The sequence below is a fragment of the Homo sapiens genome, chromosome 10 (assembly GCF_000001405.40).
Source record: "Homo sapiens chromosome 10, GRCh38.p14 Primary Assembly".
Taxonomy (NCBI): Eukaryota; Metazoa; Chordata; class Mammalia; order Primates; family Hominidae; genus Homo; species Homo sapiens.
Window position 1 is genome coordinate 28,235,587 of NC_000010.11, and position 14,240 is coordinate 28,249,826.

At 36.0% G+C, this 14,240-nt stretch overlaps 1 protein-coding gene across 17 annotated transcripts in view; it reads right to left on the reverse strand.

The window, feature by feature from the left end:
- MPP7 (MAGUK p55 scaffold protein 7) overlaps window positions 1-14,240 on the reverse strand; it is a 284,211-nt gene that overhangs the window by 184,594 nt on the left and 85,377 nt on the right. For all 17 annotated transcript variants that reach the window (NR_134518.2, NR_134517.2, XR_007061944.1 and 14 more), the window contains one exon: window positions 2,982-3,149. Coding sequence is in view for 12 of the 17 variants with exons in the window: in XM_017015741.2 (XP_016871230.1) it covers window positions 2,982-3,149 (168 nt within the window). In the remaining 5 variants the exon portion in view is untranslated. The remainder of the gene's footprint in view (window positions 1-2,981; window positions 3,150-14,240) is intronic.

Sequence of the window (14,240 nt, forward strand, 5' to 3'; positions counted from 1 at the left end):
AGGTGAGATTAGACTACTGCCATGCTCCACATACAGATTACAGTTGGATTACAATTTCAAATGTGTAAAAACAAATCTTTAAGATAACTATTAAAAATCTTAGAGAATATCTTCATAATCTTGGGATATGAAAGGCCTTCTTAAGCAGAAGAAAGGTAGCATGCACCATACAGAAAAGATTGATTTGACTACAAAAAAGTTTTCAACTATTATAGAAGAAATGTTATTATTTAAGGAATAAGAAGGACAAATGACTGACCAGAAGAAATGATGTTCAACCTATAATGGCTCAAAGGATGAATACACAAAATGTAAATAAATTCTGCAAGTAAATTAGAAAATGACGAACCAGTACAAAAATGGGGAAGAGATATGAAGAGATGAATCACAGAGGAATGACCATTAAACAAATGGAAATACGCTAGCTATCACTAGTAACGCACATTTCACACTTAAGATTTTATGTTTTTCCCAACAGATCGGTAAAAATTACAAGGATTGACAATATTTAATATTGCCAAGAATGTAGGGGAAAGCATCTTTAATACACTGACTGTAGATCATTCGGTGGTTTAACCACTCTGGAGGACAATTTGACATCATTAAATGTGTACATCTTCCCTTCCAAAATATTTACAAAAGGAGCAAAACCAGGCTTTTGTTAACAGCAATATGGTTCACTAAACAGCAATATGATGGAAAAGTATACATTAGTTTAAAAGAATGAGATAAATACACAGATGTATAGAGAGATATAGATAAACGTGCGTAAACACACCAACACTTTTCTATATTTAACACGGAAATATCTCTCCAAGAATATAGCTTGGTGTAGAAAAAAAGCTGAAGAATAATAAATAGGGCATAACAAAATCTGTGATTAAAAACAAAAGGAAAAGAGACTCAAAAACAATGTATTAATGACATATATATGCAAGTATTGAATGCACAGGAAACTCTTACAGGCTACTTATCAAACGGAGAAAAAAAATGAGATCGGGGGAAAGCGGCATGTTTTTATGTATTACTTGTATAATTAGTTTTTTTTTTCTTCGTGAAATAAGCAAGAAGGGAAAGAAGAAGTGGTAAAAGTTTTACACAGAACGTATTTTCCCAAATGAGCAATCCATGCATCTAGGCTGCTGTGAGTCGGGTGCCTTGCTCCTGTGGCACAAGGGTCTGACTTCAACTCTGTTCCCCTGGAACTAATGGGACGACGTCAGCGACACTGCTAAGCAACGCTGCTTATGGGAAAAATGACCCGACTGGCCAGTTGCAAACATCTGATGCATACGCCGTACTTTGCGGCTTCTGTAAATGCAGAGACTCTTGTCTTCTGTGCTTTGCTCAAACCTTGTGGGGACATAAGGTCAGAAAACATCATAAAGCAAGGTGTCACTCAGATCAGCACTTTAGATTTGCACTGCAGCGAGCTGGCTGTGTGTGGAAAAGCTCCTTTTAAATTCTTAATAGCCTATGCTATTTTTCATGACTGACACCTAAACTGCCTTATAAACTATAAATACTCCATTTTAATCCTCCTTCAAGTTATATGTAAGCAACGATATTTTGCATTAAATTAAACTAAGGCATTTTGGGTGAACAGCAAGGTTTAAAACATATTCATTACACGACTGTAGTAAATTTATGGTTCACATAAATTTTATCCATAATTTCCCAAAGCACTATGGAAAGTTAAATCATTCATTTTTATAAAGTAGAACACAATGTGGGACTATATAAAACCTAAAAAGAAGAAAAAAAATTTCCAAAGGGTCTGGCTTCCAAGTTAAGGTCTTGAGAAAGAAAAGCTTTACATAATCTAACAATCAAAACTTCTTCCTGACAAAAACGAATCCTCAATGTAAATCACAGCGGAAAAAAAAAATCATTCTTGATGGATAAAGATGAGACAAAACTTGCCAAAATATAACTATGGATATGCTTGAAATAGCAAAGAATTATATTTGCAAATAGTGCAAATGAAAATGCCAGTGTAACATAATACAAGATAAAACTGAATTTCTGTTTCGGTGTTTTTGAGATTATAGCACCAGTCATTGTAATTGTCCAATCTGAGACAGCCACCTCAGCTGGTTTGAGAGCTATATCAACCAAATTCAGGATGGCCCATATAAAACAGAGAACATTCCTTTTCGTCACACTATGTTACCACTTCTTTCAAGGGGCTTTAAAAATGCATGACATAAGGCCCCCAACCCCATTTACATTTTGTTTTAGTAGTTCTTAGAGGCATCCAGGATTTTACACTTTGAAAAAGTGCTGATTCTGGTCCAGAACAGGACCTCAAAGAGGCATCTACCACCACACTTCTACTTCCTGAATCAGATCAGAAGGGGAGGATTTTATGTACACATGTGTGTGTGTTAGTTTTTTTTTCCTTTCTTATAAATACCTATTCTAGGTATCTCAAAGTCTTATAACTGATAATAACATAAAATATGTTTGTTTGTTAGTTTTAATTGAATCCCTTAATGGTATGTATCAATTTCAGGATAGTTTTACCTCTGGTGACAGACAGAAAACAGAGAATTGGGGTAAGGATAATGTTTTATTTCTTAAAGAAAAAAAAAAGAGAAAAATATGAATCAAGTGTGGCAAACAGTTCCTAGCTGTTATACATGAATGAAGGATAATATGGGTATCACAGTATTTGCCATACTTTTCTATAAGTTTCAAATACTTAATTTTTTAAATTAAATGCACAGAATTATTCTAAAAGCAAGACAGTATGAGAATATCTGCACATGCCATCACTACCCAGAGAAAGAGGCAATGAGTCCATGTCCTCCAGTAACTTTTACCTAGGAGGGCATCCCTGAGTTGATCTTATGTCCCTAGTGTTGGTGACAGAAAAACAAGCATGATCTGCCTGCATTTGCTTAAAGCATGCTGTATTTCACTGTGAACAAGATTTAAGCAAAGATGGAATGAGAACTGCCCCTCTTGGGGTCACATACCAGTGTCACTCCCAGATCCCGTTGACAAAGCTGGCATGATGCAAGGTGTAGGAACAGGTCAGCCCACCGCTCTCCGGACACCCTGCCTTCGGACAGCCACAGGGAATTCCAATTCAACAGCCTGCAGCCACGTTGTCTACCAAGATCTGTATATTTTGTAAGCCGTTTCTAGAAAGGAAAGAAACATTTATATTTTTTAAAAAGGGACCATCACCAAATCACAACATTCTGTAACTAATTCAAAATTCTCATCCCAATCACTATTGGAGAGATCGCAACTCTTCAGAATTTTTTCTACAGACCACATGCAAGTACAAACTGTGAGAGTTTCTGATCTTGACAAGCAACTTCGAATTGAAAACATGAATGTTCTGCATGCGTGTGTTGAGGATTCCTTAAAGATTTTTACATTTGGGTTGAGGAACACTGATTGGATACGTGGATAATTTTAAGAAGCTTCTGTAAGTCAATGTCATTCTCAACTTCCTTCCCTGTGTTACTATAATTCTCAGCTACATTTCTAAATGTAGAACAGAGACTATATAAATTGTCAGCAACTTATAATTTTTATTTTTTTATTTTTATTTTTTTTTTTGATACGGAGTCTCACTCTGTCACCCAGGCTGGAGTGCAATGGTGCGATCTGGGCTCACTGCAACCTCCGCCTCCTATGTTCAAGCAATTCTTCCTGCCCCAGGCTCCTGAGGAGCTGGGACTACAGGGGCCCGCCACCAAGCCTGGCTAATTTTTTTTTTTTTAATAGAGACGGGGGTTTCACCATGTTGGCCAGGCTGGTCTTGAACTCCTGACCTCAGGTCATATGCCCGCCTTGGCCTCTCAAAGTGCTGGGATTACAGGTGTGAGTAACCGGACCCAGCCTAATTGTATTTTTTTAAATAGCTCATCCTAATATGACAAATGCATGGTTCTCTAACTGATGTCTGCAACTAACCTTGAAGGAATATTTACTAGAATGGAAGCAAGATGTTATTATAGATTTACAGAAGTGTTAGTAATCCAAAGTAAATCTAACAATCCAAGCTAGCATACATAAGTAAATTCTTTTAGTAAAAACTAACCTTTGCTTTATCTGGAAAAATATTAACTTTTTTTTCAATAACTATCTTAACTAATGTTTATCCTCAAATAAGCAGTAAAGGCAGTATAGCATAGTAGCTAAGAACAAGGGATCTAGAGTTTGACCTAATCTTTAATGCTGCTAGTTCTGTGATCTTCAACAAGGTATTTCATCTTCTTAAGCCTTAACTTCCTTATATGCAAATAGAGACAATAGTAAATTAGAACTATTTGGTAATTAAATATACTCAGACATATAATGCAGTGTCTGACACATGGTAAATAAACAAGAAACAATGGTTGTTAGGGTTTTTTTTTAATTCAGGTAATGAGATTATACAATGAAAACACAAAAGAAAGTAGCAAGATTAAAATTTACATTGGCCTAACACCTAGAGGGAGGCCATCTGGTTTAAATTTGGATCACCCCTGGCTAATAACAGAGAAAGTACTCCATTTACATTTTTGTAGAAATCAGAAGAACCATACACTGTGTTTTAAGTTCATTTTTAATGCACTTTCCTCAATTCTCTATAAAGCAAATTCAGTAATTTAGAAGCATATTTTTAACATATATTAACAACAACAAAAAAACATTGGAAACACTGGAAAGACTGGTTCACATCAATTCTGAAAGCCTTTAAGTTGCTGATTCAAATTGCAGAATAAAGAGAAATGAACTTGCCAAATTTTACTTTAAAAAATCCAAACTGTAAGATTCTATTAAAGCCTTCTAAATTTGCTTTTTAATTGTTAAAGTGAAAATTCGTATTAAAAACTTCACCATCAAATGGATTATTTTAGACCAGACTATCTGCTGTAATACCTTGAATTTTCCTTTATGTTATTGCAAAGGCTGACATAGTTAAAACATGCATACAAATCCATATAGAAAAGAGTGCTAATTTAAAATATAAGAATTGTTATTTGAAATGCCAAATGAAAATATAGCTGACTAAGCTAAAAATTAAAAATGTGAGGCAAGATTTCACTAATGCACACGTATGGAGCTGTTTTTTCTAACAATTTTGAAAGCAACTTTGCTTTGCCTTCATAAATTATTCTAAAAAATCAGTGTGATGAATTCAACTACAGGAAAATGTTCCTTATATAAAGCAAGGCTAGAAATGAAGTAATTCAAAGTCAAAAAAAGACTGTATAATTTAAAGAACACAGTCAATTAGTAGACTTTTGTTTTGCTAATATTAAAAAATGAAAATCAATTAAAATTTCTAAAATGTCTGCAGACACATTTGTACCATTAGGCCAATATATATGCATGTATGTTTGTGAGTAGGTATTTATTATATGTGTGTGTATATATATGTAATTTAAGTTTCTTTATGTCATGAGAAAAGCCTAAATTTATATGGTATAGATTGCACATATGCTATACCATGTACACCATGCAACCTATCACTTTCTTCACAGCTTAAAGAACTTACAATGTTTCATGCTTGTAAACCATACACACCATATAATAAGACAACATATGCTTATATCAATTAGAATTTCATACAATTTGAAACATTCACATTCCATTAATACTAAAGACCTTACATTCCAAATCAAAATATCCTTTTGAGCTGATATTGCTGCTGTTCATCTATGCCATATACAAAAAGCCCTCATATTTCTTGTTTTTTATTTCATAATGAACACTCAAGGTTAAATTTTTCCAAAGCTGTATCATTTACTACAAAACAATTATCTTTTAAGTATATATACTACAAAGTAATCACCTTCTCAGACCATATACAAGCATATGAATTTAAAAAATGGTTTGACAGAATCCTAACCAGTAATACTTTGTATTTTGTGGAATGAAGCAAAGTTGCTAGGTTTAACTTTCAAACTGAGTTAAACTTTTGTAGTAATGATGTTATTTTCTTTGGCAAAATTCATTGAAAATGCTTTGGAATTTGTCGGAACGCAGCCATAATTATTACTGACTGTTGTATGGAATCGATTTACTACAACACAAAAATACCAGCTGTAAAGTATGTCCTAAGAGGGATTACCGAATATTCTTAAATTGAAGTTCAATCCATCTTTCCATAAAAAAGAGAAAGACCCGAAAGCCAGGAACATAACAGCAGTATCAAGTGCACCTGAAGCATTTACAATACCCAATAGAACGATTACAACCCTCCTTTAAAAGGGCTTATTTTTGAAATTTCATTATTCCAGTTGTACCTTGCTTCTATATATCACACTGTATCAGGTTCCTCTGGCACTGATCATGTGGAAACAGTGAACTATGTGAAGGTCTATGAGCTTACAACGTTCAATTTCTACCCACTCTGGGTAACTCTTAATGCTCCCGTGGCACTCATGACATCTAGTGGTCAACCACAGAAGTGCAAGTGTTTAAAACTTGTTTTCAGTAAATAATTAATTCCATAGTCTGCAACATTTTTTATTAATGTGAACATATACACACACACACAGTTAATATATATCAACAAGAAACCAAGTACTTTTCAAATACATTTCCTCTAAATTTGGGTAAGTGTTCAAGAATATGAAAACTTGTAATTAACTGTCATCATAAACTACTTTAATAATTATGTTAGCAATCTATCATTTCAGAAGAATAAGTGTGCTCAGAAATCCAACTGTAGATTATTTCACCAGATACACATACTCAAAAGTTACATTTTCAAAACCTAATAGAGCAATAAAATAACACAAACAAGAGTAAACTTTTTAAAAAAAAATCTATCACAGATTTTTGTAAAAGCTCAATCTGAAAGACTCATTAGTTCTATTAGCCAGTGCAAGAAGCAGACTTATATCTGTTAACATATTTGGACCCTCATAAATTATAATTGTAAGAATAAAAGGAGGCAACATATACTAAGTGGCAGACATCTGCTTATATAAAATGGTACTTGTACCTTTTATACCAGCCATTCTCAAAGCATGGTCCACAGACCCCTAGTGGTCTCCAGGACCCTTCCAGAGGGGTCCATGAAGTCAAACTATTTTCATAAAATTACTAAAGAAAGTACTGAGATGTTATTTGTCTTTTGCACTGTACCAGCATTTGCACCAATGGTGAAAAGCAATGGTCACAGTTGGTAAAACCACTGGCACCTGAGCATGAGTCAGGATAATGGCACCAAATTGAAACTATTCAACATTGTGTTCTTCACTGCCAAGGATGCTCATTCAGAGTAGGAGGAGGAAAAGGAAGAAAAGCAGGAAGAGGAGGAGGGGAGAGGGAAGGTTCATTATAGAATATCCTTAATGAAGCAGTAAAAATTAATATTAATTGACTCTTGAGTACCCTTCTTTTTAACATCCTGTGTGAATAAGGGGAAGCACACATAAAGTAACTGCTGCTATAAACAAAGGAAATACTGTCTCAAAAGAACACTTGTGCAATGATTTGAGTTGTGAGTTATACTGGCTGCTTTGATCATGGAACTTTTTTTTTTTTAACTTAAAAGAACAACTGAAGACAAACTATGGTTATTCAAGCTTCGGTATTTGGCAAACATTTTCTTGAAGATAAATAGAGTCCATACTTTCAAGGGAAACCAAAAACAGTATATGTTGCTAATGATAAAAATGAGCTTCCAAGCAAAAATCAGAATTTTAAAAACTTGCATCCACTAGAGGCTCATTTTGCTATGTTAACTGAAATACACGCATGGTGGAACCAAGTCCCCACTTTGCACTGGTTCTATCAGCTTCTCAATGCCCAAAGCCTTTGCTGAGAAGACCCACGGTGGTATTAACAAATGTGATTTTTTTTTTTTTTGGCATTTTGTATCAACATTGGGAAGATCTGCATGATTCGGTGAACCAATATTTTCCCATTTTCTACTAACACATTAGAAAATCATGCATGAACGACATCCATTAAAAGCTCAAGATTGATCAATGGATTTAAAGTTCCAATACAATAATTTTATTTCTATACTTTCAGATTTTACACTGAAACTTATCTTTAAGAAACTGCCATATATCTTTGGTGTAACAGCAAATATCCACAGTTAACTGAATAGGCTATTAAAATACTCCTCCCTTTTCCAACTACAGATCTCTGTAAGTTCAGTTTTTCTTCATATCCTTCAACCGGAACATACAGCAACAAAATGAAAGTAGACACAGATACAAAAATATAAAGGTCTCCTGTTGAGCCAGGAATTAAAGAAATTTGCAATTCACTCATGTTTTTGTTTTGAGGGTAAAATTATTTTTCATAAAAATGTTATTTGTGTTAACATGAAGCAAATTTAATAGTTATTTTTAAATTAATTAAACCAATATAACCCACATAATCAAAACTCTTTAGAGCCTTCAATAATTTTTAAGAGTATAGATCTGAGGCCCAAAAATGTTGAGAATTGCTTCTCTAATGCCAAGGTTTGGCAAACATTCTCTGTAAAGGGCCAGACAGTAAACATTTTAGGCTTTGTGGTCCGTATGGTCTCAACCTAAACAATAGGTACATGAGTATGACTGTGTTCCCATAAAACTTGATTTCCAGAAATGAATGAGGGCCAAGTTTGCTGACCACTATTCTATATCCTTACATCCTATCTGCTAGTGACTTAAGGATCTAGAAGTAGCATGCTTTCTAGTAACATTTTTACTGGTCATTATTTATACATTCAAAAAGAAAGTTAAAAAAATCTATTTTGTTTTGTTGTGCAAAACTGTGAAAATTTTTAAAGATTCAGTTCTTAATCATAAACAAAATTGCATTTCAATTTTGGCTATCTCAAGTATCTCAGACTCGTCACTATACATAAAGAATTTAAAAACAGACTTACAACTGGCCAAGTATTAGGATGTTGTATGTAAGAAAAGATGATTTATACAACCAAAAACAAAAATTCCTAGTTTTCAAGAAAAAAAGATTATGAAGGATCAAAATGTCTCACATTTTACAAATCCAATGGGGTTCAATGATTAATATAAAACCAACATATGTCCTTTCCACACATGGAAAGGGAAATGCTGAAGCAACAGAAAAGAAGAATCCCACTAAAAGAATCCTATAAACCTTTAAAGACTTCAGAAAGGAAACAAGAGAACATGCTGCTTTATAATCCCCAGGCGAAGAGACCCAGGCTTCAAGGCTGCTAGGAAAGTCTGCCGGGAACCCTGGTCCATTTGCCAGGAAGGAGTATTAACCACAAGACCCTTAGGGACTCATCTAGTGCGGGCTCGGGAAGGCACACAACCGCCCCTTCTCTGCAAGCATAGGTGTAATGAATGAACTAGCACTTGCAGGCAATGAACTCATTCCAGACTACCCAAACCATCTACAACAATGAGTGCACCATGACCCCATTTTCCTTTTTTACTCTCCTTAAGCAAAAATGGCAGCATTTATAGTGTTGGCACATCCTCCACACTTCTCCTCTGGGGTACTTCTCTGATGATGACTGCCTTTCCATTGCATTTATATTCTACCACTTACTGCTAAAAAGTCTTGGCTAAATCTTCAAGATTACACCACTGACCATCAATGACCCACTATTTTTGCTCTGTATCTCTTTCCTCTAATTGTTGGGGGCAGAGAAGAGTGATACAACTTCTTGATTACGTTTTCCTTGACTAATTCTCAATTTCAGATTCATCTCAGCATTCCACTGGCATTCCCTTAAGTCCTCTCTACCGCAGAAACCAGTCCTTTTTTGTAATTAACGTACATCAATATAATTCTACATTTTTTTGTTCAATCAATGTCCCCCACTAGATTCCTTGAGAATGGAACCCATATCATCATATGTCCCTAAAAACTGAATAATGATCCGCTGTCTTTCCCTTCCAAGTCAGAGTCACCTCATCATTTTACCTATAGGGAGATAGCACAGCCTAACAATGAGAGCACAGATTTTGAAATCAGACAGACCTAAGATCACACCCAAGCCCCGCCTTACTGACTCCATGATCCTGGCCAAGCTACTTAATGAAATGAGATTAAATGAAATAACAAAAGTAAAACATCTAACCCATATATAGCAGCCAATCAACAGATGGCCGCTTTTATCACATTTTTTTTTTCAAGACAGAGTTCCGCTCTTGTTGCCCAGGCTGGAGTACAGTGGTGCGATCTCGGCTCACAGCAACCTGTCAGGAAAGGGATGCATGAACAAAATAACAACAGAATCAGAGAAACAGAACTATTAAAAGTTTCTATTTCTAGAAACTCTGGAGCTTACAAATACAATAATGGAATTGAAAAATTCACAAGAGGGGCTCAACAGCAGACTTGATCAAGCAGAAAAAAAAAATCAGTGAACTTGAGTATAGATCATATGACACTATAAAGTCAGAAGAGCAAAAGCGAAAAAACAATGAAGAAAAGGGAAGAACCTAATGGGACACCATCAAGCAGATGAATATACGCACTATGGGAGTCTGAGAAGAACAGAGAAAGGGACATGGCTGAAAATTTCCCAAATGTGAGGGGAGAAATGGACACAAAAATTCAAGAAGCTTAAGAAACTGAATTGGATAAAGCCAAAGATACTCATGCTAAGACATATTATAATTAAATTGTCAAAAGTCACAGAGAGAATCTTGAAAGCAGCAAGAGAAAAATGACTCATCATGTACAAGGAAGCATCCACAGAGGATCAGTGAATTTCTCAGCAGAAATTTTGCAGGTTGAAGTAAGATGATACAATCAAAGTGGTGAAAAAAAAAATCTGCCAATCAAGAAGACTACATCTGACAAAACTGTCCCACAAAATGAAAAATAAATTAATCCCTTCCCAAATAAACAAAAGCTGAGGGAGTTTGTTGCCACTATGCCTGTATTACACATACTAAAGGGAGTCTTTCAAGTCTAAATGAAAGAACGCTAGACGGCAACATGAAACCACATGAAAATATAAAGCTCTTTGGTAAAGCTGAATATATGAACAAATATAAGATACAGTAATATTGTAATGATGCATAAATCACTTTTAATTCTTTTATAAATTTTCAGGCTGGGCAATCATAGCAGAAGGTGAAAGGGAAGCAAGGCATGTCTTATGTGGTGGCAGGCGAGACAAACAGAGGATAGGGGAAACTGCCAAACGCTTTTAAAGCATCAGATCTGGTAAGAACTCACTATCACAAAAAGAGCATGGTGGAAACCACCACTATGATCCAATTACCTCCTACTAGATCCCTCCCTTGACACATGGAGATTACAATTTGGATTACAATTCAAGATGAGATTTGGGTACGGACACAGAATTGAATCATATCATACATCTTCTCCTTCCCAAGTTGTCTAATGTTTCCCATAATGACAAGTCCATCAGCTCAAGTCCCTGACATAGAGCACAGTACCCCACCAACATGTGATGGATATACAGCAGCAGCAAGAAATAAATGTGTTGTTGGAGTTATTTGCTACTGAAATACAACATAGCCCATTATGACTGATATACTGCTCATTTACAAATATCAATAGTATGATTTTAAAATAAAATAAATCATTCACTCTAAGTATTTACATTGTTATTTCCTAAGTACTAATTAATATTAAGTGGTTCAACACAATAGTTCCAAAAATTTGTGGGCTACTAGAAACATCTGTAATAAATCTGGACATTCACAAAGATGATTTCATGTGTTTACTGACAACAGACTCATGTAAATTGTCTAGTTTTGTCAGTTTCCTAGGCCCTATATCAGAGCTATCAAAAAATACACTTTCTAAAAATTGATTCGTTTGTAAATAATTATGTCATAATACTAAAGTTAACTGTATGCATTTTCAAATTAAGGACAGCACTAAAAAGTTAAACTAAATGTAACACACAATGGTTGCAATCATGTATATTTATGTATGTATGTTTTGAAGCTATCTTAAACAGACAGTGATAAAAGGAAATATATAATCCAAAGCATTCATTATATATAACACAAACAACTTTATATTAAGTTAGGTTTTTCTCCATGGTGGTCTATCTTTATACTCCTAAAGGAAATCCTCACTTATCTGTGTATGAGCTTATACCCATGTTTCCATTCTTCTAGCATATTCATCTATTTTATTTCCAATGCTAAGAACAAACCAAGATAAGCCCTTCAAACAATTCAAAATCCTAATGTTATATTGTAGAGAACAGTGCATCCTTTATGAACTAGAAGAGAATCTATTCTGTATTAGCCCTTTATGTATTAAACGGTAGAGACTCTTACATTTGAAGTCAGCTATACCCAAGAGAAACTTTAAGAGCACTGCATTGTTCATACACCTTTTAATGTCACTTTCTTCAATAACCTCAATTTTTATACTTCATGAATATTAGCTGCTGGAATCTATTGAGTATACTTTGTAAATTTTTAATTTGTATGTCATAGCTCTGAATAGGAGTATTTTCATTTCTACAGTGAAACAAATGAACAGAAAAGGGGAAAAGTTAACATTTCCAAAGAGTTATGTAAAGACGGAGCAAAAATTAAGTTGCTAAGGAAAGTAACATGCCAGTCATTGTCCAAAAACCACGGGAAATGGTTACAGAAAAGAGCATTTCACAGAGCTGTGCACAGCCTGCTAGTGGACTGCTAGCCAAACTCTCTTAGACTAACACACCCTGGAATGAATCTATCTGATTAGGAGAACTTACTTTATGACCAATTTAGTGTCAAGAAATCTGAGGGCTAGAAGGGGAACCTGGCTGGGAAAAACAGGGCCTGCTAAGACCACATGGAAGCCAGCTGTCAGCCACTTCCTATTCATACACTCCCGGGAGGAGACATGCCCTCACAAGAAACGGAAAATGATGTAAACGCCAAGCAGGAGGCTTTGTGCACTCCGACGCGGCTCAAGTGGTTCAGGTTTCCCGGGTGTTTCCCCAGGTGGCATCTTCTCAGCTTCCTTGGCCTCCCTTTCTAAAATCTCCCTCACACCTTCCTAATTCCACTTAATGATCTTTGCCTGTGCCCATCCCAACTTCATGAGCTATGCGTATTTCACTCTTCTTGTCTAGAGTCTGTCTTTTACTAGAATACAGTCAATGCGATGCAGGGCATAATGATGTTTCTGTCAATCACACACCACATATATGGCAGTGGTCTCATATTCTTACTCTTCCCTTTCTATGTTTAGGTATGTTTAGATACACAAATACTTACCACTGTGTTCCAATTGCCAGAAATATCCAGTGCAGTCACCTACTGTACAGGTTTCTGGCCTAGAAGCAACAGGCTGCACCATGCAGCCTAGGTGTGTAGTGGGCTCTGCCATTTGGGTTTGCCTAAGTGCACTCTAGGATGCTCCCACAAGGACCAAGTCGCCTAACAACAAATTTCTCAGAACGTCTCCCTGTCGTTAAGCAACGTATGACTTACAGAAACTATGAGAGGGCAGGGAGTTTGGTCTGCATTATTCACTGCTGAATTCCTGGTGTCTTAGAATAGTGCCTGCCATAATAATATGTGGCTCCAAACATTAATTGAATAATGAATGAAAAAATGAATGAGTGACTACTGGAATTCCTACCAATTTTAGCTATGATAATATTATATATTTTATATATATTATTTATTTTGTGTTTCTGCCTGTCCTCTTCTTAGTTCTCCTGTCCAAAGGAAAAAGACTGCTAATCTCATTGATCACAACCTAAAAATATTTACTAGACCAAAAGTATAGTAGGAAAACTGTCAACAAATTAGATATTAAAAGGTCACTATCTGGCCGGGCACAGTGGCTCATGCCTGTAATCCCAGCACTTTGGGAGGCCAAGGTGGGGGGATCACATGAGGTCAGGAGTTCAAGACCAGCCTGACCAACATGGCGAAACCCCATCTCTACTAAAAATACAAAAATTAGCCGGGCATGGTGGCACACGCTTGTAGTCCCAGCTATTCGAGAGGCTGAGGCAGGAGAATTGCTTGAACCTGGGAGGCAGAGGGTGTAGTGAGCTGAGATCCACTGCAATACAGCCTGGGCAACAGAGAGAGACTTTGTACACCGCCAAAAAAGGTCATATGTGCCCAGTCCCCTTGACATCTCGTGCTCCCTTTTCCCCGAGTAAGCAGACTCTGCTAGTGCCAGTCAGCTTGCCGGCTGCCCACTCTCACCATTTCACTGGGTTTGGGTCACACTTGTGCTGGCTGCGTGCCTTTCTCACACAAACTTCTGCTGACCTGGGCTTCTGATATGATAAGAGAGCCTGCACCTTCCCCTGGTGGGAGGAGCCTAGCCCACTCCTC